Source organism: Homo sapiens, chromosome 12 (genome assembly GCF_000001405.40).
Source record: "Homo sapiens chromosome 12, GRCh38.p14 Primary Assembly".
In the NCBI taxonomy this organism is placed as follows: domain Eukaryota; kingdom Metazoa; phylum Chordata; class Mammalia; order Primates; family Hominidae; genus Homo; species Homo sapiens.
The window spans coordinates 63,272,679-63,299,841 of NC_000012.12; the positions used below are offsets into that span (position 1 = coordinate 63,272,679).

General features: G+C 36.0%; 1 long non-coding RNA gene across 3 annotated transcripts in view; it reads right to left on the reverse strand.

Moving 5' to 3' along the window:
* The window catches only part of LINC03056 (long intergenic non-protein coding RNA 3056), a 90,518-nt gene continuing 73,912 nt past the window's right edge, over positions 10,558–27,163 (reverse strand). For 2 of the 3 annotated variants that reach the window (XR_007063345.1, XR_007063343.1), the window contains exon 2: positions 17,453–20,258. This is a non-coding gene — a long non-coding RNA (long intergenic non-protein coding RNA 3056). Of the gene's footprint in view, positions 12,231–17,452; positions 20,259–27,163 lie in introns of those variants that run through there. The other variant, XR_007063344.1, reaches the window with a different exon arrangement.

The window sequence follows — 27,163 nt, forward strand, 5'->3', positions numbered from 1 at the left end:
AAAGACAATACATTAGGTACATTTTCACACCTTACTATGGAAAACATAATTTTACTGCCTGCACAACACCTTTTTTGCTGTATGACTAGATTTAATAAATTTTACTGCTTATAAAAATACATATCCTGGTATATGATTTTTTTAATATAACATTGTGCTAAATTTACTCAAAGAGTATAATAAACATGTTTATGGCTCTTAATACATATTCCTAATTTGCTTTCCAGAATATGTTGCTTATTTAAACTCCCACTAGGAGCTAAACTTCTACTGTGAATTTCACCTCCTCTTTACCAAAACTGATGATTTTTATTTTAAAAAATTGTTGATAGTTTGGTAAAATTTATTATTAGAAAGGTGGAACTTTTTATATTTTATTATCTATTTGCATTTCTTCTTCTGAGAATTGTCATTTCTTATTCCTTTTAGCATTAGAACTTGGTTTTCTTTAGAGCCTTTTATTTTTATAGTGTTCCTTGTTTTGCTCAATTTGCAGCTAATCTTCTGTGTCCTTGCACTAAAACTATCAATTTTATCTCAATTGCAGAGGTTCTCTAACCCTTCGACTATAACTTTTCAGAGTTAACATATTAGAGGATTTTCTTTCTCACCCACATTTATACAGCTCTTTTTTCATATCATAGTGCAGAATTGGGCAAATGCAAGGACTGTTCTCCAAAATCTTTGCTGCCCATTTTGCTCTGGAGTTGGCTTTTCTATCTAGACTTTATCTTTACTTCAGATATGTTCAATTTTTTTTTTTTTTTTTTTTTTTTGAGACAGAGTCTTGCTCTTGTTGCCCAGGCGGGAGTGCAATGGTGCGATCTCGGCTCACTGCAACCTCCGCCTCCTGAGTTCAAGCTATTCTTCTGCCTCAGCCTCCTGAGTAGCTGGGATTACAGGCACCAGCCATCACATCTGGCTAATTTTTGTATTTTTAGTAGAGATGGGGTTCCTCCATGTTAGCCAGGCTGGTCTCGAACTCCCAACCTCAGGTGATCTGCTGGCCTTGGCCTCCCAGACTGCTGGGATTACAGGCGTGGGCCACTGCCCCCGGCCGATATGTTCAAATTTATACCATCTCTTGTGAGATGCACAGTGGTAGGACGTGAAGGTTGTTAAGCCATCCTAGGTTTAGGTCAGAAGGCGGACTTCCTTCTACAGATAAGCCATCAATTCTTTGATACCATCCCACGCTATTAAACACATCCTCTAAGACAGCCACTTGAGGTTGTACTGTATTGTTTCATCATACACTTCCAATGGTAGTCTGTAAAACTGACCACCAAATGTCTAGTCACTGCCATACCAACTTCTACATTACAGAAAGAAACAATTTGGCAATGAAAACGACTTAAAGGGCACATCATCTCTACTTCTGAATCATCTGACTTCTTTCCACAGGCAATAAAATTAAATACTCAAACTAGGAAATGTATTTTTTAAACTAGTAAAAAGATATCACAGAAAGAATGAGGGCAATGGGCTGGTGTCCTGGCCAGGGTTGGTTCTCAGCCCTGTGCTGCTGGAAGAGGCTCTGGCCACCTGCAACCCTGAATTGGAATAATTGAGTAAATAATTATCTTATTTATGTTTATTAATCTCTCTTAAATGTATATATATCTCAAATTTATTTTAATGTTTAATATTAGATGTGTTTTAGTTTTTATTTAGAAACTTGGTGATGTTTTTGTGACCAGAAATATGCTGTAGGAACTTAGCTCTTTTTATATCAATTAGCCTGTAGTAAAATTGGTTTCATTAATGATCATTTTTGCTTAAAGTAGCAGTTTCCAAGAACTCATCCACAATGTTAAGTGAGGACCTAGTGTACTTCAGCCAAACAGAATAAGTCAGGACCTCAATGCCCTTTTCAATTGCCTGCAATTGGCCAGATGTAGGCATGAAAGCGTTGATCCAAGTAGAAAAAAATCGGGAAGATCTGAGGATCAGGATGGATACAACCACCCATGAGCTAAAGAGACAAAGTAATTTGTCATGCTGCTCTCAGCCAGGACACTGCCTTCAGCCAGGTTTGACCCTTTAAAGCAGCAGTTCCTACCCACACTGTGTCCATCAGAATTACCTGAAAGATTTGGTAATATGCAAGTTCTCAGGAGCTACTTTGAGAGTTTTTAATTCAGTGGGTGATTCAAATGGAGCTCAGAATCTTCATTTCAACATGTAACTGATTTTTTTAATGAGATGGTTTGAGAAACACTCTTTAAGAAACACCACTTTTAAAAGTAACTGTTCTTGGGAATTCCAGTTGTACCAAAATCTGCCAAGTGTCTCAACAACATGTACTCAAAAGTTCATCCTTACCTCACTGATCTGAGCTTCCATCTTTATTATATACCAAATTTCTACATGTATTTGGGTCTATCCATGGATTTTCTAGTCTCTTATCTAGACCATTCTATTTACATGCCACACTGTGGTAATCACGGAAGCTTTAAAATATGTTTTAGTATCTGATAACGTCATTACTCTTCTTTCCAAGATATTTCTTGGCTAATTTTTCTTTTGTCCTTTTTTTCATAGTAACTTTAGAATCTACATGTTCTTTCATGCTTCATTCCTTCCCTTCTTCTCTCTCTTCTTCCCTTCTTTCTCTTTTCATCCATCACTAGCAATGTGCTAATCTTCTTGGCCTCATGCTAATATTAGCCAAGTTATAATTCAATAAATGGAGAGAAGATAAATTTGAGAGGTCAACTATCCTATTTGTCAAGACAAATTTGATTTGCTTAAGATCAGAAGAAAGGCAAATTAAAGGAATAAAACTATTAATATTTTAATAAAAGCACATTAATTGTATCAATTACTTTAGGAAGAATTGAAATCTTTACAATTTTGAATATTTCTATCCAAGAAGTTAATGTCCTAAAAATCTTGTGTTTTTGTGCATGTGTATGTGTGTTCTTCAGGAATGTTTTAATGTACTTCTCATAAAATTGTATTCATTTATTGTTAAATGTGTTCCTAAGTGTTTTATCATCTTGTTGCCATTGTAGGTGGTATATTCTTTTTTTGGATTTTTCAGTTATTTATCGCTTGGGTTTCTGAAGGACATTACTTTATGCATATTAATTTTACACCACAATTTGTTATTGAAGACTCATCACTTGTAGTACTTTTTTGTTGAATCTCAAGATTGTCAGTTTTGTAATCCAAATATCTAGAAATAGTAATAACTTTATCATTTCAAATTTCGTGACTAATTAATTCTATTGTCTAAATAGCATTGAATAATACTCCCTGTATAAAATATTAATATGTTAAGAAATTGTCCGTTTTATTAAGTGTTCTCATCAAGAATGAATATTGGACTTTGTTTAAAGGCATTTTTTAATCTATAAAAAGAATGCATATTTTTTCTTCTTGTATATCATATTTCTGCTTGTGATAAATATATTTCTTAATATTGAACTACATTTATATATTTCTGAAATAAGTCACATTAAAAAAATGATGTACTATCATTTTTTAAAAGGTAATGTTGAATTCTATTTGGTAATATTTTATTTAAGATTTTGTCTTACATTTATAAATAAATTGCAATTTAATGTTTTAAAGTCCAGCCAAGTTTTAGAGTAATTTGACCCAGACCACACTTGGTTTCCTGCCCCTTCTGCTGAGTCTTATATCTTGGTTTACCAATCACTGAACCTAGCTCTTCTTTTTTTTTTGGTCAAAACATGAACTTGAATAAAGTAACTGCAAGAAAGTAGAGAGTCAGAAAAACATGATTCTTAAAAAATGACAAAGATAAAATCTTCCATTGAGACTTATCAACATTTTCACTCTGTAGAGGTATTATACTTTGTAGCATTTAAAATATTTGTAACATTTCCAAGTTTTCAATTAAAAAATAAGGTAGGAAAAAAATGAGAAAATTAAAAATAAATAAATAAAATTAATTCACTGTTTAATTGAAAAAAAAATCATGAACGACTGGCCTAGACTTTGCCTCTTGACCATCTGAATTCTAGCTCTTACACATGTGTTTGGGGACCTTCATGCCTCTCCTTGCAGGGACTTCCTGGGTTTTGCCCCATTTGAATCATCATGTGACTGGTTTCTGTTTCAGGTTCCTGATCCCATTCAGACTAAATTCCAAACAATTTCCATTTGTTTCCTTCCCACTTTCTATGTTTAACTTACTCCTAGGACCATCTGATAAATCCTCAAGGACCAAATATTAATTACTTCTGCCGATAAACTCTAAACAACTGGTTCTTTACTGCCCCCTTGAGGGCCTTGGCCTCCACACATGCTGTGGCCTATTCTAGAGGTGCTTAGTCCTTGCCACCTGGCTTATTCTCTCCAGAACAAGGACTAAGGTACAAAGAATACAGTATGCTGAGAGCAGCGGAGAAGACAAAGATGACACCATTCCTGTCTTCAAAGGACGTAAAAACTAGATGAACAGAGGAGAAGTGAGGCTTGTGTGTGTTTAGGGTACAGGGGTTAGAAGGAGGGTGTTGTAAATCAGGCACAAGCATTAGTCAAAAATTAGCTATGAGTCTCAGGAGGCAAAGGGGTGGTTCAAATGACTCCTATAATAGTTGAGAAAGGGAAAACAGATGTCACTATGACAATGAGGGAAGACTTCATGGAGGACATGCTTCAGAGCTGCTCTGCAAAAGGTAACATCACATACATGGACCATGAGGAGGGAATCCCCTATGGGAAAACATGGCATGAGTGAAAGGATCAGCAGAAATAGGTGAAGATAGGAAGGGGATATTTTGGCTAGAATGAAGGATTTACATGGGGCAGCAGAATGAGAGAAAAGGCTAGAAAGATAGTTTTAATCCAGATTGTGGAGGAAATTACATTTATCTCATCACTAATAGAAGGCTTTCCCTGAAAGCAGATTCTGTTAGTAGGCAAATAGAAAAGAGAATTACAGAGGGGAGTGCAAGAGAGAATCAGATATAGAGGGAATACAGGTCTCAGAATACAAATACTGAGTGGTAGGAAGATGAATAAAAGAGAGAAAAAATGTCAGCCCTACGGCTTTTTCTATAGTCTCATCATTCACATCCTACAGAGCACACAGGTTACATGCTACATGAAATAAGGCATTGTGATCAATACCTTTGGAGATATGTCCTGTGAAGTACAACAAGGACTCAAACCACACAAAGCCTCCAGAAGAACTGCTTTATGACTCTCTCTGTGTGTGTGTGTGTGTGTGTGTGTGTGTGTGTGTGTGTGTGTTAAACTAGCAGTCCACAGGTGGGAGTTTTGTTATAAACAGTACAGATGTTGACTGTAGTTATCGCTTGAGCCTGTCATCAGTATATCACAGACATATCCCTGCCACCCAGAGATAGGTGACTCTTGCCAGTGTTTGGCCATTGTGCATAGCAGCAAGAGTTTCTAAGCTGAGTTCAGTCCCTATATGGATCTTGTTATTCTACTAGATGTCCTGATGAGATCACCAGTTTGTTGTTCAAAACAACAAAAAAAGCATAATAAAATTGTCAGTTAAATGAAAAAGCAGCATAATTAACTTGTGTAGTAATTATTTTTTTTTGCTACAATAACGAAGTACTCCAGAATGTAGTGGCTTACAGCAGCAATAAACATATATTATCTCATACGGTTTCTGTGGGCCAGGAATTCAGGAAAATATTTGCTTGGTGGTTCTAGCTAGGAGTCTCTCTTAAGGGTATAGTGAGGATGTTGGGCAGGGACATAAACATCTGAAGGCTTGGCTGAGCTGGAGGATCTACTTATTTACATGGCAGGTAAACAGGTGCTGGCTTGACAGGAGACTTTTCCACTGGGTTGCTTAACTTCCCTTATGACATTATGACTGGCTTAACCCAGAGTGAATGATCCACATCAAGAAAGAAGCCCCAATGTTTTGTTATGACCTAGCCTTGAAATCCTCACATTATAATTCCCATATTATCCTACTGGTTGCAAAGGTCAGCCTCATTTGGAGACAGTGAAAGGGGCCTATACAAGGACTTCCATGCAATGAGACAAGGCTCTTCAGGAAGTGTTTTGGAATCTGGTTACTATGATAATTCTAACATAAAATGCTATTCTATAAAAAAAAGTATTTTGTGCCTTAGCTAAATTGCTATAGTGAAAAAAAGTCACATCTCACTGTGACACATTAGTGTATTTAAGATAATTATTGAGTTGGTATTTAAAAAGAAAAATAATTTTATAAGTAAACACAAATCCAGATAATGAAGTTACAGTTATAGAAGGGTATACCTTTTGGAGTTTGCTATTTATTTTAAATAATTTAAAAGTGTGTTTATTTGTTGCATGTTGACTTGCAATAGGAATCCCTTTACAAATTTGCATCAATAAGATTTAAATTTCATTTTTTCAGCAATATGATAAACTCGGTTGTGAGAGAAACCCTTTCCAGTGCAATTTATACTAAAATGATGCATAATAGAGGAAGACAATTTGCCACTCTCTTCATTGGTTCTGAGCAGAAAGCAGACAGTATCTCCTCTTCAAATCCCTAACCACCTCTCTCAACTGGCTTGGGGCCTAAAACTACACTGCTTATGTGGCTTCCCAAACTGCAGGCCATAACTTTGAGTTACAGTTGCCCTAAGTTGATAATGTTCTCAAGTGCCTGGCGGAAGCAAACATGAACTGTCACTGAGAGAATTTGCTTTAAACACAACCTTCAAATAAGTTCCACTCATGAAATTCTAAGGAACAAAGGCTCAAAATAAGAACTTACTAAACACTTGAGGAGGCCAACTTTCCTGAGCAAAGTTCAGCTGAGACAATAAACTGCAGATTAAGGACTTCCAAGAATGCAGAGTTTAGAATTATCAGATAAAGATTATAAAATATTTAATATGTTCAAATAAGTATAAGAGTAAGTGGAAAGTAATGCTAAGAAAAAGAGACTATCAAAACTGACTAGAAAGATTTTTAAAATTAAAAACAAATAGAATTTTTGAAAATAAAAAATCATAATTGAAATTAGAAATTAAGTGTATGAATTCAATAGGAGAAATGATCAGCTAAAGAGAGTACTAGTGGACTGGAAGATAGAAGTGAAGAAATCATAAATTGTAGGACAGAGAGAGAATGAGATGGAAAACAGCAGAGACTAGCAAAAAGAGCAGTCAGAGTGATAAGGTTCAACTTAAATCTTGCAAGAGTTCCAAAATAAGAAAATAAAGAAAATAGGAAAGAGGCAGTATTAAAATAGATAATGGCTAAGAAATATCCTTAGTTAATGAAAGAAATCAATTTTCAGGTTAAAGAAGTGTAATAAATCTCAAGTACAATGAATAAAAGAGAAAAAACAAAAATCCCCAATCCAAAAGTCTAAAGTCAAATAAAAAAAACAATGAAAATGGAAAAATCAAGAGAAATAGAAAATCCAAAGTGGAAAATAAAAAGATAGAGATAAATCCAAATATGTCCATTATTATAGACAGTACAAACTAGTTAAGAGGCAAAGATTGTCAAACTGAGAAAGTCCAGTTATACATTATTTAAAAGAGACACATCTAAAACATTAAGACGTGAGAAAGTTGAAAGTAAAATGATGGGCCAGGCATGGTGGTGGCTCACACCTATAATCCTAGCACTTTGGGAGGCTGAGGTGGGAGGATTGCTTGAGGTCAGGAGTTTGAGAACAGCTTGGGCAACATAACAAAACCCGATCTCTACAAGAAATTACATAAATAACATTTTTAAAAGTAAAAATAAGAAAAGGAAAAGAAAATGATGAAAAAAGATTTACCAGACAACGGTGGAAGAGAACAGGAAAAGGGGAGGGCAAAGGAAGGAAGAGAGATTGTGGGAAAAAGAAGACGGGAAAGAGAAAAAGAAGAGGATGAAAAGGAGGAGGAGAGGGAGAGAGGGAACGGATAAGGAAGTGAAAGGGAAAGATAAAGAGAAGGAGGAGGCAGGGAAGTGTGGGGAAGAGAAAGAAGAAAGTAAATATCGCTTTTAGCTAGACATAAAGAAGGCCACTACGTGCTGATAAAAGGTTTAATTCTCCAGAGGATGGATAGAGTCACCAGCAAATAAAAATACAGAACATCCAGTTAAATTTTAATTTTAGAAAAATAACATATTTTCTTGGGTATAAGTTTGTCCCAAATATTGCATGACATACTCATATTAAAAAATTATTCATTGCTTACCTTAAATTGAAATAGCCTTATATTATTTGCATCCCTGGAAGATGAATGTAACTCCTAACAGCCTCAAAACATACGGAGTAAATATTAATAGAACTACAAAGAAGAATTGATAAATTTGCCATAATTGTGGGTGATTTTTAACACATCCTTAGGTATTTGGCAAGTATTCAAGCTTATTCTAATGAACATCCATATAATGTTATACACAAAAAGGTATAATACACATTTTTTAATGTCCAAATGGAACATTTACAAAATTTGATCACCTACAAGATCACATAACAAGTCTCCGTAAATTTCAATCAATTTCTATTTAAATTCTATTACAGAATATATTCTTTGATTTTAATGTAAAGAAGTTTCAAACCATTAATAATAAAAGAAAAACTGTGTACATTTGGAAATCAAAATAAGGCCTATCATTTAGGAAAAGACAATTATAAGAGAAATTAGAAAATACTTGAAATTGAATGATTTTTAGAAACCCACATACTAAAACTTGAGAAATATGGCTAAAATAGCATTTTGAAGGAGATCTATGGCCTAAAATGTTTATGTTAGAGAAGAAAAAAGGCCAAAAACGGTGAGATAAGTATTCAACTTAAGTAGTTAGAGAAATGACAACAGAATGCATGCAAAGAAAGCAAAAGGAAAGAAAAAATAAAGATGAGTGAAGTGAAATAAAATGCAAATCAAAGATCTAATAGATCAACAAAGCCAAAAACTGGCTCCTAGGAAAAACTCATACAATTGATACAACTTTAACAAAATCAATAAAAAGGAGTGAAAGCACTAACAAAATGTATTAAGAGATGAAACAGTGATTATAACTTCCAATAAATCAAAGGTTTAAAGGATAGTTAAGTAGTATATGACAACAAATATGAAAACTTTAGAGAAAAAATTTTCTAGAAAAACATAACTTTCTAATACTAACAACAAAAGAAAATACTTGAATTATTTTGCATTATATGGAATTATTTTATATGAAAATTGATTAATAGTGAAAGTCTTCTCCATTAAGAAGAAAATAGGTCTAGGAGGTATACTGAAACAAAATTCCAATATTATTTATACTCCCTTAGAATATACTTAGAATACTCCATAACTTTTAAGTATTAATATACTTAGAACACTCCCTAACTTTGATACTGAAATCAAAGACAATGTAAGAGAATAAATTACAGGTCAAGTTCATTCATGACATAATTGCAAATATTAGCAACCCAAACATAGTAAAAAGTAAAAATGATAATATATAACGAACAAGTTGGATTTAACCCAGAAATGCAAAGTTAGTTCAACATTAGAAAGAATATTAATATAACTCATGGCATAAACACAGTAAATAGAAAATAAAGATATAATCATCACAATACTCAAAAATTGCATATGTGAAAACTTAAAAATTACAAAAAAACTGACTGAAAAACTTATACCTAAAAATGATACAGTAAAAGCATTTCCATTATTTAAGAGAACAATAAGAATTTCCGTCAACATTGTACTGGATTTCTTAGAAAAAGAATAAAATATGTAAAGATTAAAGAGACAGAAACCCTACTGCCTTTATTCACGGAGGTATATACATAACATTTGCAGAGAATGATTTTGATTATATTTACCATTAGAATTAATAGAAGTTTAGCCTAATTGCTGAATTTATGATCAGTTTATCAAAGTTAAATAATACCCATATAATTTCACTAAATAGTTGGAAATATATGTTTTAAAATCATTTATGACAACAACTAAAAATATATGTCTGTATCTAACAAATATACATGAAATCATAAGAGTTATTGAAATAAAGACCTTTATTTATAGTATATGTGGGGAGTATATTTCATTGACTGTAAGAGTGAATCCTATAAAGATGTCAGTTCTCCCCAAGCTGATCTCTAGATTTAATGCAACTTCATTTAAAATCTTGACTCCTTCTCTAACTTGAAAAGCTACATATGACATTATATATTAAAAAATAGCAAGGAAATCTAAGACACTCCTTTAAAAAGTTGGGCAAAATGACTTGCCTTACCAGATATCAAGAGCTATCACAAAGCTATGATTTAAGCAATACATTATGGGTGTAAGAATAGATTAATAGGTGACAAGAATTGAATATAAATCGAAGAAACAGATTCACAGATAAATGAAAAATTGAAATGTTAATAGAGATGGCATTGCAGATCAGCAAAGAAAATAATATATTCCAGAAATGGTTCTGGGGCAACTGGTTATGAATATGAGACACATGAAATTAGATCTCTACACCATATACAAAATTCAATTCCAATGTATCAAAAACTCAAATGTGAAAGGCAAAACTTTAAAACTTTTGAACCCGGGAGGTGGAGGTGTGAGTGAGCCAAGATCGCACCACTGCACTCCAGCCTGGGCAACACACACAGTGAGACTTAGTCTCAAAAAAAAAAACCGTTTAGAAGAAAATGTGTGAGAGTATCTTCATCAATTTTTGATAAGCTTAAGTCATTTGGAAAAAATAAAAAAGAATATATTTATCACTTCCTACTAGGAAAACTTTCTCAAACAGCATAAAATGTGCCAACAGCATAAAATGTACAAACCACCAAGGAGTAATTAATACTTATTAAAATGAGTTAATATACTACATTAAAATAAACTTTTATTATTCAAAGACATTGAAAACAGTCAAAAGATAAACACAAAGCTGGTAGAAAATATTTGCAATGCAAATAATGGCCAAAGGAATGGTATCTAGAATATACAAAGTCCTGAGACAATTTTTTAAAAATGCCAATCCAGTAGAAATATATCAGCGAAATATGTGGCTAAGTACTTAACAGAAGAGGTCAATAATGATAGGAAGAGCTGATTAAAGCTAATGTAAAAGTGTGTAATACAAAGAGTTGCTCATTAGTAATCAGGGAAATGCCTATTAAAACCAAAAAGTGATACCGTTGCACACATACCACCAGAAGGGTAAAAGCTTAAAAGTCTCAAAATATCAAATATTGGCAGGTAGGCTGGGTAATAGGTACTTTCAAACATTCTTATATCCTATATCCCAACAATCCCATTTCTGGTCATATACTCCAAAGAAACCCTGGCATATGTGCCCAAAGAGACATGTTTCAGAACATTCATTAAACTCTTTGCTTTCATAGTAAGAGAGAAAAACAATTCTGTTACCTAAATTATATAGTACTAAAAATAGATAGGCACAGACAATAATGATTTAAACAATAATGTATTATTTTAATTACAGCCGGATATTTTATAAGTTATTTTTAATTTGCTCTGCTGATAGAAAATAAAAGTGTGGAGGTTCAAGATGTAGCAACTTGCCTCAAATGGTTAAGTAAATTAGCAATTCAACTTATCACCAAGCTATGGTTTCATCTTTCTGTGCTCTTTTCTTCAGATCTCACAGTCTTCCAACCAAGTCACTAATTTAGTAATTTTCAGTTCTCTTAATAGGATATTTTTAAGTGTCCATGCATGTTTCAAGATATTGCTGACTCCATCAACAGTTTTTTATTTCATTACTCAGGGTGAAGATGGCATATGTTTGGTTGTATTAACATATTCTTAATTATTTTCCTTAAAAACTGAAATAAAACCCACAGGGAAAAACAGATGCTTAAATAGACCAGGTAGTAACCCAATCTGGCAGACAGTGAAATTTTAGAAGTACTATTCTCCCACTTGCCATGCCTGATTAGGAATGGGAGGAAAGAAAATTAACATTCATTGATCATCTACTATGTTCCAGATGCTTTGCTTTCAATACTTCGTTTAACCCTGAGAAACCCGAAAGGTGGGCATTATTTCATCTGGTTTGCTGAAGAAGAAGCAGAGATATAGTGACAGAGAGAGTGAGAGCAGGAGAGAGAGAGAGAGAGATTTCTTTCTTTCATTCCCAAGGATCCATCTACTAGGTGGTAAAGCTGGGAACCCAGGTCACTCTGGTCCAATCCTCATGCTTTTTTCTTCATGTTGTGCCATCAAACACAAGGATCTCTATTTGAAGGTCTCATTCAAGCCATTTGGTGTTCAGCTTTAGGATCGATCTATGCTTAAGGTCAAGGCCTAAGTGAGAAGAGGATGCAGGATGTCTTAGTGACCTCAGCCTCAAAATGTCTCCAAAGCCCCTAAAAAGAGGTGGAAAAGCTAGCTAAGAAGAGAGTGCCTGCCTGGGAGTAACTGAGGCAAGAGAGGCCTTCCTTTTGCAGAAGCTATGAATAGACAGCCTTGAAACAAAATTCTGCTGGAGGATGAAACTGCATTTCTGGGGACCCCATCACTCTGGAGAGAATAATTCTGCACTATCTGTGCCATGAGAACAGATGTCAGGCTACCTAGACAGGAATGAGTAGACATAAAGGCAAAAGACCAAGAAGGTTACCATGTCTCAGGGAAGGCCAATAAAGACTCAGAGGACACAAGTGAACTCACTGTCTTCACTGCCATGAGCTCTTTCTTGCCCAAAGAGAAGAGAAGGAGCCCTAAGGGAAAATATGGTGTTTGAAATGAACAAATTGAATTCCTAAATTGATTGAATAATCACTTAAAAAGACTGTCTTAAACCAAAGGCTACATCTTTTGAAACGATGGTTCATTCTAGGTGTCAACTTGGCTGGACTAAGAAATACCTGAAGAACTGGTAAAACATTGTTTTGGGGTGCATCTGTGCAGGTGTTACCAGAATGATTGGTGTGTGAGCCTGAGTGGACTAAGTGGGGAAGGTCTGCCCTTGATGTGGGTGGGTATTGTCTAATCACTGGGGGCCTGGATAGAACAAAAACAGAAGAAAGGCAAATTGATCTTTTTCTCCCCTGGAACTGGGATACACTCTTTTTCCCCTGACCTTGAATGTCAGGACTCCAGGCTCTCAAGCCAGACTTTAGACTCCAGGAATTACACCAGCACCCCTCTCCACTCACCTCCACCTTGTTCTCAGGCCTTCAGACTTAGACTGAGCAACACCACCACTACTGGCATCCCAGGGTCTCTAGCTTGCAGACAGCCAGTGTGGAACTTCTCAGACCCCATAATTTTCATGAGCCAATTCTCCTAATAAATCTCCTTTCATCTCTCTCTCTCCCTCTCTCTCCTTCTGTCTCTCTGGAGAACTCTGATTAATACACTTGACTACAGGTTTTCTGCTACCAAACACAAATGTAGGCTCATGAACAAGGTGAATTTATTTCCAAAGAAATAGTTGCATGTCTAGCAAATGATTTGTGCCTATACATTTAAAACCCATGATGTAAGCATTATTAATCCCATTTTGTAGATATGAAAATCAGCACTCAGAGAAGTTAGAGGCATTTTCTATAGCCATAGAGCAAGTAAATGGCAAAGTAGAGGGTTTATTCGATATTCATTTGTTCCAAAGCTCATTCTCTTTCCACCTCAGTAAGACCTGATTTTTAAGGGGAAAATGCTGAAGCAGTCTCCCTGCCTCTAGGCCTCCATATTCTAAGGTGTGGGTCTTGTTCTTGTTTATGTCTCCTGATGACTGCTGCAGGGCACCCACACGAGGTACATAATGCATATGATCACAGCAGGAAGTCCAGCGTTACTGAAATTTCATTCGAGAACAACACATTCCCTATAATTGTCATATTTGATGACTACTTAGTGAACAAGAACATCTCATTGAAAACAAATGTCAGTCCCATTAAGATATAATTATTCTCTTCTTCTAGTCTGCTCAAGAAAGAACAGAAACTCTAGACAAATGTGCCTAATTTTGTAAGTTATACACTAACACAAAGCATCCTGCTGTGGGTGCCCTTATTTCCATAAAGCCGCATCTCAGCACATAAAAATACAAGCTCCTACAGTGCACACTTTCTTCCATCTCTGGGGGTAAAGGCAGACTCCCCAGTGGGGTGCCTAACTCAAGAATACAGTGCTATTCCAATCCTAATTAATTTCCAGGGTGTGTCCAGCTCTTCTGATTTTTGCTTTCTATGAGGATGGGGTGCCAGGGAGCCCAGGAAAGGACTGAAGTGGCTTTTTGGATTCTGGATCTGCTACTATCCATGTCCCCAGTGCCACTGCTCTTATCTACCATGCTCCTACCCCAATACAATCAGCCTGCTGAGCAGTCTTTCTCTGGCAGAAGGAGGGGTGTGGTCATAAAGAACAATAAAAGTTTTATTAAAAGGGTAACCATACTGTATTTTCTGGAAGAATCCATAGTCCATGTTTCTGTTCTGAGTTATACTCATAGTTACATTTGTACTAATCAATATCTGCATCCTGCTTATTGGTTTCCCAATCATAGTATTTTGGAAGAATCAGTTGGAGGAGTCGCTGATGAAACTAAAAACAAATTGCATATTGTTTCTAACAAACTCATAAATGGGTTGAGACATGAGGAGTGCCCCAGGGAGGTCTAATATCTTAGTGCCCCTCCACTGAAATCCCTAAATATGTATTTAGCATTAATGCAGATGTCAGAATGAGTGCAGTTTAGGAGGAAAGACAGAGAGACAGGACTGCTGGTGGTTTCGGGATTAGCAGCACGTGGTTTCCTGAGCAATTCAGCTCTGGTTCCAAATTTACAAGCATAATCAATGCTATTAACAGAAAAAAAAGTTCCTAAAAGATAGGCAAGACTGAACTGCTACCACAAAATTTACTAACATCCCTCTTTTTTGAGTGATTTCTATTTCCCTTCTAATGGCAACCCCAGCTCCAATTTAATCTTACTGTCTTTGGGCCAAAATTGTTAAGATAGCCGGTCATCAAATTGTCTGTATTTCTTGACAGCATCCCATCCAAAACTGGTCCTTGATTCCTCAAACTCCTTTCAGAACCAACCGTCAACAGCCCAAATATAGAATAAGCTTCTCCTGAGTGTTCCTTAGTATCTTAACACTCCTGAAGTTTCTCTGGGTATGGTCTTTCTTGCCTCACTAAATTAATCAACCTAACAAATAAATTTGTGAATACAGGGATGTTCCTGATGACCTTTGGTTAGTGAGTTTGACTCCGCCTATCTGTCTTAACAGAAAACTTAGCAATCTCTCTAGGACTTTACCTTCTAAGGGTCTGTAACTGGATCAAACCCAGCTGCTCACCAGTCAGAGGACGAAAACACAAGAAGCGAGGTATGGTGAAAGGAAAGCCATTTTATTAATCAAATGCTAGCAATTGGGAACTGACCAGCCTCATGCCTTTAAAAGATCTATCCAACTTTTGGGGCTGAGTGAAGGGGTTTAAGAAGAAAAACTTGTATAGGAGATGTGGAGGAGTGTTGTAGGGGGGTGCGGGTCTGTATGTTTTGTTCTGATAGCTATCTTGAGTAATCGCCTGTCTAGAGATCCCCGTGGTGTCGTCTTGGCTTTGGCCCGGTGGGTGGAGGACTAATTGTTCATAACTCCCCTTAAGTGGGAAAATTCTGCAGCTGGGCCTATACCTGGTTTGTTTCAAAATTAGCCCCTGGAATTTCTAAGCAAGCACATAATTAGATAAGCATGTACTATGCACGCAAGTACCTGGTGGACAAAAGAGAAACCAAGAATTTTAACATACAAGGCTACATTTTGAGATTAAGAAAGAAAGGAAAAAAAATTTCAAAATGCATTTTGAAGTTAAGCTTCTCAGTTTATAGATCCTCTTACCTACCTAAGCATTTTGTACAAGATCGTGCACACTTTGTGAGAAGAGCTCTAATAAACATAATTATCTCCACTTCCTCATATTTCTAGAAATATGCTTATGATCCCTATAGACAATAACCTTGGACAATTTCACAGTTACCCTACCCTCAATCTTCTCTCAGATTTCCCCCTTTCCCTATCCCACAGCCATTGTACATGTACAACAACCCATAGTAATGGATTTAGGATAAGTGGTCTGGTGGATCACATACTCATTCCAAAAGATATCAGTAACAGGGTAGGCTCTGCAGTTTCACAGCTATGTGATTGTGCTAGATTTTCTGTTGACAATCCTATGTTCTGCCTTGAATTACAAGTATTGAAAACATAGAAACTACGTTTCTCGGATTTCCTCAACAACAGCATTCCTAGTTAGAGTTTTGCTAATAGAAGGCACTCATATTAAATTTAGAAGCAACAGAGAGCCAGAAGCAATATCATTTCTTTCTGGCATTAGCAGACATACTCAAGAGCTTTGGAAGACAGTTGATATGAGGTTTTCAACTGTCCTCAGATATTCTTCTGTAAGTCTCTGGCTTTAATGCTGCCAATAGCATTACATCATTGGTGGTAGTTTTCTACAATTTCTGCAACGTTCTGATTCTCTGGAAGTTAGTGCAAGTTTTTCCCAATCTTTACTCCCTTAGCACTTGTAAATGATTTTGTAAGCAACTAATATCCTATATTAAACCTCATCTTGATTGAAATACCTAGAGTAGTTCTGTTTTCCTGACCCAAACTTCCTGACTGAAAGAACAAATAAGGTCCAGTACCCAATAGTTAATCAACACTTTTTCTTCCTCCCTCCCTCCTTTCAGTAGTTCCCAGTTTCTACTGTTGCCATTTTTATGTCCATACATATCCAATATTTAGCTCACTTACAAGTGAGAACATGTGGTATTTAGCTTTCTGTTCTGGTGTTAATTTGCTTAGGATAATGGCCACCAGCTTCATCCTTATTGCTGCAAAGGACAAGATTTCATTCTTTTTTATGGCTGCATAGTGTTCTATGGTGTATTTGTACCACATTTTCTTTACCCTATCTACCATTGATGGGCATCTAGGTTGATTCCATGCTTTTGCTAGTGTGAATAGTGCTGCAACGAACATACAAGTGCATGTGGCTTTTTGGTAGAATGATGTACTTTCTTTTGGATATATACACAGCTGGGTCAAATGGTAGTTCTAAATTCTTTGAGAAATCTCCAAACTGTTTTTCACAGTGGCTGGACTAATTTACCTTCCCAAGAACAGCGTAAAGTGTTCCCTTTTCTCTGCAGCCTTGCCAACATCTGTTGTTTTTTGACTTTTTAATAACAGTCATTCTGACTGGTATGAGATAGTATCTCATTGTGGTTTTGATTTGTATTTCTCTGATTAGTGACATTGAGCATTTTTTCATCTGTTTGTTGGCTGCTTGTATGTCTTCTTTTGAGAAGTGTCTGTTCATATTTTAAAAGGACTTTCAAACACAAAACATAGTAAATTAAATTCTTTGGTGGAATTTAAGTGGCAACATCTGTTTAATGAGAAATATAAAATTTCTGACTGTTATTGCAGAAGTGATTCATGTATTCATAAAACGAATTGTAGTGGATATCAACTAGCTTAGTTGTTTAGATTTAACTGACTGTATTTAAGAGTGATGTAACAATTTTATTTTAAAATGTCCATATTTTCAATGCATAATTATATCCATTGCAATTATTGAAACATAGGGGAAAAATCTTTAGCTATCAACTTAAAATTATGAGCAGTTGCACAGTTTTACAAATTATTTTAGGAAGTACACAAACCAAAGCTATTCATGGGTATCTTTGACTCTTACCCATACCTGCCCATAATAGAAGAGAAAGGCTACTACGAATGGATTCAGAAGGCAAAAATTTCCTTTCCAAAAATCAACAGTCGATTATGGATTCATGTAGATTAATATATCTTTGTTGAGTTCCAATGCTCCCTTCTCTTTTTCTCATGTTTATCGCTAGCCCAAGCCTTATGCTTGAATTGACTTCTTCCTGTGTCATCTGCTCTGCTTGCAACTTTAGACACTGACTCTAGTTCTTACACCATTACCCTTCTACTACTAACTAATGTTAGTTAATTGATCTAACTAATGCAGGCTAGTCGATCTAACCTGCATTTCCTTCTCAGCTTACATCTCTAAATTTTCCCCACAGGACAATTAGTCAAATCTCAAACATTCTTGCATCTTCCAGGTAGATCTGGTACATTGCTCTTTGACTTAGTCTTGCCTTTAGGACTCTTGATAACTTTACACCTGGCCTACGTAAACTCGTGCATTCTCTGATCTGTGTCCTGCATAAATCGTTCTGCCCAACAGTCTGGCTTCATTCCCAATCCTGATCCATTTTATTTGCCTGCTTTATCACTGCCAAAAATGTGGCATAATAATTAACAGTTATTGATAACAGCTGTAGGTTGATGAGAAAAAATAATGCATTATTACTTAGACTTTGTTTGCTTTATATTTCATGTCATAGAAAAGACCTTTAAACTAGCATTTCATATAAAGTTCATCTGCTTGGTAGAGTTCTGCTCTGCTTCTTTTTTTTCATTTTTCCTTTTTTACGTATTATTATTATTTAGAGACAGGGTCTCACTATGTTACCAAGGCTGGCTGGCCTTGAACTCCTGGGCTCAAATGATCCTCCCACCTCAGCCTCCTAAGTAGCTGGGACTATAGGCACATGGCACATGCCACCACACCCTGCTTGATATGGTTTGGCTGTGTCCCCACCCAAATCTCATCTTGAATTGTAGTTCCCATAATCCCTATGTGTCATGGGAGGGAGCTGGTGGGAGGTAATTTAATCATGAGGGCAGTTATCCCCATGCTGCTTTTCTCATTATCATAAGTGAGCTCTCACGAGATCTGATGGTTGTTTTAAGGGGCCATTATGTGAAGAAGAAGGTGTTTGCTTCCCCTTCCACTGATTGTAAGTTAAGTTCTCTGCCATGTGAAACTGTGAGTCAATTAAACCTCTATCCTTTATACATTACCCAGTCTTGGGCAGTCTTTTCTAACAGCATGAGAACTGACTAATACACTTCTTGTTTTCTTTTAAAAGGAGGACTTGCAAGACTAACATGGATGTCCAGGCTTCTCTGGCCAGTTAGCATAGCTGAGATCATAATTATATCAACTACCTAATAGTCAGGCCTGCACACCCCCACCTGCCAGAGTAGCAGCATCCTAGGCCTTCTTGGGTTTTCCTCTCTCTGAACGCCTCTTAAGGAGTGCTCAAGACCAAGGGTAACAGAGATTTGCTTTTGTCCCACAGTCACACTGTGTTTTCCTTTTCCTCTTGAGCCACTCTATCCTCTATCGTACTTTCTCTTACCTCTTTCTGTGGCTCTAGAACTTCAGCACTCTCTTGCCTGATGGCACAAGCTGGGGGGTAAAGGTGGGAGGCAGTAGATGGATATAAAAGACCAGTGCTGCTCTCCCCCAAGTCCCCTCCTTTACCATTGCTTTCCTATGAATATTTTAAAGCAAAAGTAAAATAAGAATACCTAGGGCTTAATTTTTAAAGAGGGCACCTCATTTTATCCAAACCTCAGTAGGTACAGACCTGCTGCTTGGACAATATCACCTCAGCAGAGGCAACACTTCTGATGGCCACACTCCTAAATTTTAGTAAAAATACCTAAGAGGAAGCAATGAACTTCTTGACTACTGAACTTACCAACATAAAGCATGAATGTTTGAGTCAGAAGGAACTGACATCAAGATTTTGCCCTGCCTCTGTTTTTTTCTTAGCGAAGTGATCTTGGAAAAGTCATTTAACAACTCTCTACCTCAGTGTCCTTGTCTGTAAAATGAGGTTAATAAAATTATTTGTCCCATAGGTTTATGGTGAGAGTTTACAAAGATGATGAAGGGTTTAGCCCAGTGCCTAGCAAATGGTAACACTCTACCAGTTGGTTACTAAAACTATTAGTATTTGTGGTGCCAATGTGAATGCCACAAATGGCCAAAACCATATTATTAAATGAGAGGCTTCCTAGGATAGGAGAAACAATAAACCTGGAAGAGAAAGGTCTAGAAATTGCACTCTACATTCCCTATTCTGCAGGTCATCAGAATGGCTCTCCACACATACATGGTTGTGTTTGTTTTTATATTTCTGTTTCACAGGATTGAACACAACAGAAGAGGTTGCTATGGAAACATGTGCACCTTACAATTCTTATTTATGGGAAATAGTTTCCATAAAACTAGTTTCCATACGTTGTTGTTAGATGTCAGTTGTCATTTCTCATCTCTGTTAGCATGCCATCCACTTCTGTACAGTTTCTGTCTGCAGTGTAGCCAATGCTTTGAGTGTAGGGAGCCCACACTGGGCAAACCATGCTTCCTTTCGTATTAGTCAAGCAATTCTTCCATGATTGGTGATTAGCATTTGTTGACAGCAATCTGGCAAGGTAGGCAGAAGAATGTAAGCAGAATATCATGAAAAGGAACTTTAAATTCTGATAGTACATTCCTGCTTTCTCCTTTCTATGGCAACCACAAGTACCATCAGATCACAAAAAGAAATATTCTGAAGCTTCTAGGATTTGAGTGGGTGTTTACATATGCATTGTCTCTGTGAACTGTGGAAGCAATTAAAATGCATGATGTGCCAATATGTAATTGTAATGAAATTTCCATTACTCAGTGCCTGGAAAATATCTGTAGTTTCCACTGACCATTTACTTTAGAGATTTGGGTCTAATAAAAAATGCAGAAAACATTAAGAAGATGTGGGTTAAAACCAGAAAGGTATATTTTCAAAAAGTTGTGGCCAGAGTTCAAAGGTTAGGAATAAACAAGATTTAAGAATTAATGAACTCGCTTTTGAGATTTATCCTTGTGATTTTCTATGTGCGTCTTCTACATTCCTGTAATTACATACTGATTATACAATGTAAGCCATCATGTTCTTTCTTTCTTTTCTTTTTTTTTTTGAGATGGAGTTTTGCTCTGTTGCCCAGGCTGGAGTGCAATGGTGCAATCTTGGCTCACTGCAACCTCCGCCTCCCAGGTTCAAGCAATTCTCCTGCCTCACCCTCCCAGGTAGCTGGGATTACAGGCATGTGCCACCAGGCCCGGCTAATTTTTTTTGTATTTTGGAGAGACGGGGTTTCACCATGTTGGTCAGGCTGGTCTCGAATTCCTGACTTCAGGCGATCCACCCACCTCCGCCTCTCAAAGTGCTGGGTGTTCTTATAAGAGTATGTGTTTACTTCTGAGTCGTGTGGTTTTGGGAAGTGGGAGAAGATAAGCTTATGGGAAGGATGCTGGAATGTTGAGCCAACAAATAACAACATACATAAATAATGAAATGGAAGAGCCACAGCAACTTGGGATACTTAAGGCCACTGAGAGAGGGGACAAATTGTTGTTGCTATTGTTGTTTTATTTTGTTTTGGCTTGGGGAATTTAGACCTCCATATCATAATGTGATAAGCAGTGGGACCTCTTAGTATTGTTGAACGTAAAAATAGATTTGGTTTGTTTATGCTTAACTCCAAACCAAGTGGCAGGTTTGGATGGAATGTCCCTCGCAAGTCCAGTGAAATAATTATAACAAGATGTTATACGGCCTGGCACGCTATGAGAGTACAGATTTAAGACTAAAGGATTATAAATAAACTTATAGGGAAGTTTTAGTACTGACACATTCCAAGAGAAAATTTAGAGTATAAAACCTTATACTTTTGAACACATTAGACACTGAGGACTAATGAATTTTAGATAATAATGTTAAGATGAGTTCCACTGAATTCACTGAGGAATCAGTCAGCTCAAGGGTAGGAACAATTAAATTTTCATGTTTCCACAAACAGCAGTCCCGTATGTCACTTATTAACCATCATAGTTACTGGTAAGTTTGTTTTCAAGGTTTCATGTTATTTAAGAAAACAAAGCAGCAGTCAGGCATGACTCAGCCAACAGGCACTCACTGAGTGTCCACAGGAAGCATATTCTAAGGAACACACCACAAAACCTTTCATTCCTAGAAATAAAAGGTGGATTTTCCTTGCCTACCAGACCACATAGTTGTGATATATTTAGCATAAAGAAAATATTACCTTACAGACAGTATATAAAATAGGATCCATTTTGTGGAGATTAAAAGAGTATAAATTATATAGATCAAACTACAGACCTTGTCCAGGCACTGAGTAATGGAAATTTCATTAAAATTACAAACAACAAAAATATATACAAACCAAGTGTATCTCTGGGTGGTGAACACTTTGGAGATTATTCTTCTTGTTTCTTTAGGTCTCTTGATCATTCAACATTCAAAAACATGTTGTGTTCATGTAATTTTAAAGAGGGTTTTTTAGAGAAAGAATAACCAAGTTGTTCTACAAATCTACAAGTAGCTGATAATCTTGGCCTACAATAGGAAAATGCTAGTATAATTGATGGGCTAGGAGGCTGCAAGCAGTAAGTTTAAATTTGGAGCCAACACATCTGTATTTAAATATCTGACAATCTCATTGTTTGTCATTCCTGTCTACAAAATGGCAAAAATGTTCTGTTTCCTTTCTCATTTCACTTAAAACTGAAAATAGTACTCACACAATAGACATTTTGATTAAAACATTGTCACTAGATGGAGCAAAACAGTAGATTAAAGAAATCTGGCTTTTGTCAATGATGAGCTAAGAATTTAAATAGAACAAATCTTGATAAATATCTCAAGTGTAGGTCGCCAAATATGAGAAAACAGCTTTAGGATTTTCAGTAAGGAAAACACTATGAGGATTTCATTCATTAATTCAGCAAATATTTATTAGGTAACAAGGTAGCCTACTCTAAGTGCTGGGACGGAGCAGAAAACAAGACAGGAGTTGTTCCAGTCTCATGTAACATTCATTCATTCTAGTCACAGAGATGAACAGTAACCAAAACAGGGACAAATACTTACATAATCATAGATGGAAGTTTTACAAAAGGTGAAGGGCAGGATGCTACTGAAATTTATCAGGGGTACCATTCTACTCTGAATTATCAGTGAAGACATCATTGGGAGACATTTAATCTGGTCCCTAGTTACAAGTAGAACTTGATCAGGACAACGATGGGGTGGGAGTATAGGGAAAGGGCTTTGGGGAAGAGAGAATCCTAAGTGCAAGATATCTCAGGCATTAAAGAAGGTTAACAAACTGAAAGAACGAAAAATGAAGCTGGAATATGGTGTGGTGGGATAGAAGGGATGAATGGCTTATTAGATTGTGTTAAGAAGCTTAGATATGATCCTAAAAGCAATGAAAAGCTCTTTGGTTAGCACATGAAGCCAACTCAATTCTTGTTTAAATAGTAACTACATATATTGCATATATAAAAATTATTTTATCTCTTGAATTAATCAGTATTGAAATGTAGATTTTCAGAAGTTTTAGAAAACATGTTTTGTAATAGGAGAAAAATCAACATAGGATTTACAGAATTAAAATCTATTCATGATGTGAATCTCATTTAACCAGTATAACTGTTTTACTAAGTCTACATTTACAAAATAGAGACTCATCTCTTTTTTATGCCAATTTACTTTGGAGCCACCACTGTTTCTTGTTAGATGAAATTTCAGGATATCATTCTGGAGGTTTTTCCTACTCCTCAATTTATTCAAGAACACCAGGAACCTAACTCAATCCCAAGTCTATCAGTCCAGCTTCCAAAACTCCAACTGGGTAGGAGCTGGACCCTGGCTAGTGCATCTGTGCCACATGATTGTTCAACGTGGTTCAGCACTGTTGAAGAGCAGCCCTGCATAGATGAGCAGACTGTGATTGTTCACTACTGCTAAAGCACACTCATGATGATCAGGTCCTAGCCCAGGCTTTGGGTGTGCCCATGCTGTGGGGATGCCCATGCTTTCGGGTGTGCCCATGCTGTATGGGGATGATTATTTCTTGTTCTACTTATCATGGACTAATTCAAACATATACCAGAATATAGTATACCCATCATCCAGTTCAGTAATTTTCAGTGTATGGATAATCTTGTTCATCTATATTCTTCCCTACCTATCCTCCTCACACCCAACATTTTAAAGGAAATGCCAGAATCATATCACTTTATTTGTAGTATTATTTGCAGCACTAAAGATAAGGATTATTAAAAAGAAAACCTAAACCCATTTTAAATGTGATGCCATTATCACACTTAAAATATAAATATGTGCATTTTATCATCAACTATCCAACCAGCATTCAAATTCCCCCAGTTGTCTCACAAATGTTTTAATAATTTATTTTTTATAATTTGTTTGTAGAAATCAGAATCCAAATAAAGTTCATAATTGCAACAGGTCTCTTAAGTCTATTTTATTCTGTACGTTCCCCCTCTACCTTTTTTCTTTTTCCATAGATAGATTAGATAGATAGATGATAGATAGATAGAAAGATAGATAGATTTTTTAAGTAAATGATAGTTTGTCCTATTATGTTTTCTATTGTCTGAATTTTGCTGATTGCATCCCATTTGTGCCACTTAACATATTCTTTGATCCTCCTATATTGATGGGAAATTATTAGAAGCTTATTAGATTCAGGTTGGATTATTGGGGTATAATGACTTCATGGGTGGTATTGTGTACTTCCATCAGGAACACTTATCTAAATGTCTTCTTTTCAAATGTTGACAGTAATGGATGACTATTGCCTAGATTCATTAATACATCAATTATGGTTTGCAAAATGTGATATTCTTTCATTTCCTCTTCAGTCCTTGATTGGATATGTCTATTAAAAAAATCTCTTCCTCAAATATTTGGTTACCCTGGGATCATCGGTAAACAACTGAAACCTAATTGAACTTACATCTGTATCACCTTTCTCCTATGCTAAAATTCCTGGTTCCCAATAACACCAACATCATTACTTATTTGCTTTATTCCACAAAACACACAAAATGGTCTCAGAATAGCAACATCACTAGCACATATGGATACCAATAAAGTTTATGAATTTTCTTTTTAATTCCTTTTTGTCTTTAGGTTATAGTCTATAGGCAATGTACATTGGAATCACTGTGCCTTAAGCTTGTCTGAAAAGTTGTGCCACCAACTTAATAAGCAATTAACTTCCATTTTCATTTGCCTTCAACTCTTAGGGGCTGTTTTTCTAAATTAAATTTTGTTCTATATTTGTGCAAAAGATTTACGTGGCCCTAAAGTCAAAACTGCAAGCAAAGTATATTTTTGAAATTTTAGTTTCTATCTTTGTCTTTGCCATACTAGTCTTCCCCTTCTACATAGTAACTTTTTTTTCTCGTAATTTTAAAGTTATCCTTTTATGGTCCTTACCTAGGTAAACAGTAGCATACTATAAACACTTTTTCTCGCTAAGCGATAAAGTAATTTCTAATTTACATTCCCACGTTCAACTGTTGTTTATCAAGTATAATCACTGGAATATAATGACTGAGACCAAATATAATCACTAGAACTACAGCCCCACTCTCATGGACATTAGGAGCCTGTCACTCTTCTGTAACACTGGCTTTTGGTCAGGACCAAATGGTTTATTCTAACAGGTCTCTCTAAACTTTGAATCTTAGAAAGTCCCTAGCCTCTTAAGCCTCCTAATACAAATAGATTCATTCTACCTACTCCCTACTCAGAGCTCAGCATATGGGAAAGACAGCTTTTGTTTAGTCTCACAAAACAAAACAAAACAAAATAAAACATCTAGCTATACATTTCTCTCAGGATACTGAGTTTCTTTCTGCTGAAAGAAGAAAGGGAACGGGCTTTTTGCAAGAGGAATAATCTTTGGTAAACAGATTGCTTCAACATGACCTTCTGTCTCCCCCAGTAAGTAAGAAAGCTGGTAACAGTTTCCCCATAAAACAAGAAAACCAATTCCATGTAAACTAATACTACCAGACATCTCCTAGGAGCTGAGAAATAGTAAGTCATAATCATGTATTTCATGAAAATACCACAACTGTTTAACAATTGAGAGAATGCTTTCATGATAACTATTCATCTAAGCTGTATGGAAAATCTGTGAAATATTTAACACTGTAATCTCTCCCTTTTTCTTTCTTTTCGAAAGTGAGGAAATAGTGACTTGCCCCAAAACATGCTGCCAAACTAGGTGGAAAAGGAAAAATAAACCCCAAGTGGTTTAATTCTAGTTTCCATGCCCTTTTCACTTTCTGTACAAGAACAATGAATCAACAACTGACCGTATAAAACTATGCTTTCACAAGAATGTCAACAGATGACCAAGTAGTTTGAGTGTTTAGAAAACATTCTCTGACTGGGAAAGGTAAATGGCAGGGAGGAGGGAGGATGAAGAGAAGTGAGTTAAAGGGTACAAACATACACTAGGATAGAAGGCATCAATTAATGTTTGATTGCAGAGTAGGATGACTATACTTTAAAAAATGTATTGTACTCAGGTGACAGACACCCCAAATACCCTGACTTGATCACTATGCATTAGACACATGTAAAAAAATCTCATGTATCCCATAAATTTGCACAAATCATAAATAAAGTAATAAAATATTTGCCGTAATGCTCTACAATTAGCAGTGAAGCAGGTTTAACCCTCTACCATAAACTATTTTAATTTTATTGCTTTTGAATTTGACTAAAAGAGGATTAGGCTGGTAACATATATGAATAAAAATAAATGTATCATTGTAAAAAAAAAAAAAAAAGAAAAGAAAACATCCTCTGGATAACTATGTTTTTATGAACAAGAAACAAGGAATCTGCTTATACAACTGGCAAACAGTTCAGAGAAATGCCTCCCCTACAGCTATGGACAAATATATATTACTAAAACTTACTATAGGAGTTGCACTTGGTGAAATGAATATGTGCCTACCAAAAAAAATTGAGTTCCTATAATTTAATAATAAATCTCTAGGGATAGTGCTATGGAGGCCAAGCTCGTAAAACAGAGAATTTGAAACCACATTCTAATTGACTTATTTTGTGGATTTGAATTTATGTACATTATGTTTTTCTCCAAAGGAAGTAGTGTTTTGTCCTATAGCCAAATAGATTTCTAAGATAATCCAAGCCATCTGAACAGCCTAATGGCAATTCAAGTTTTCTCCTGTCTCTGTTCTATGTAGCCGTCTGGAGAGAACATTTCCATCTCTGGGACTTAAGAAAGGCAATGGCTATGGTTTGGCCCCCAGTGTACCATACAGTTAACCAAACAACTGACCCTGAAGAAAACTCATTTTAAGGTTGAAACTGTAACGAATTCTTCTTCCTCACAATCTATTCAATGAAAAGAAAAGGCCAGATGGCATTTCAGAAACCCATGCTGTCTGATAAGAAATATATATTGGCT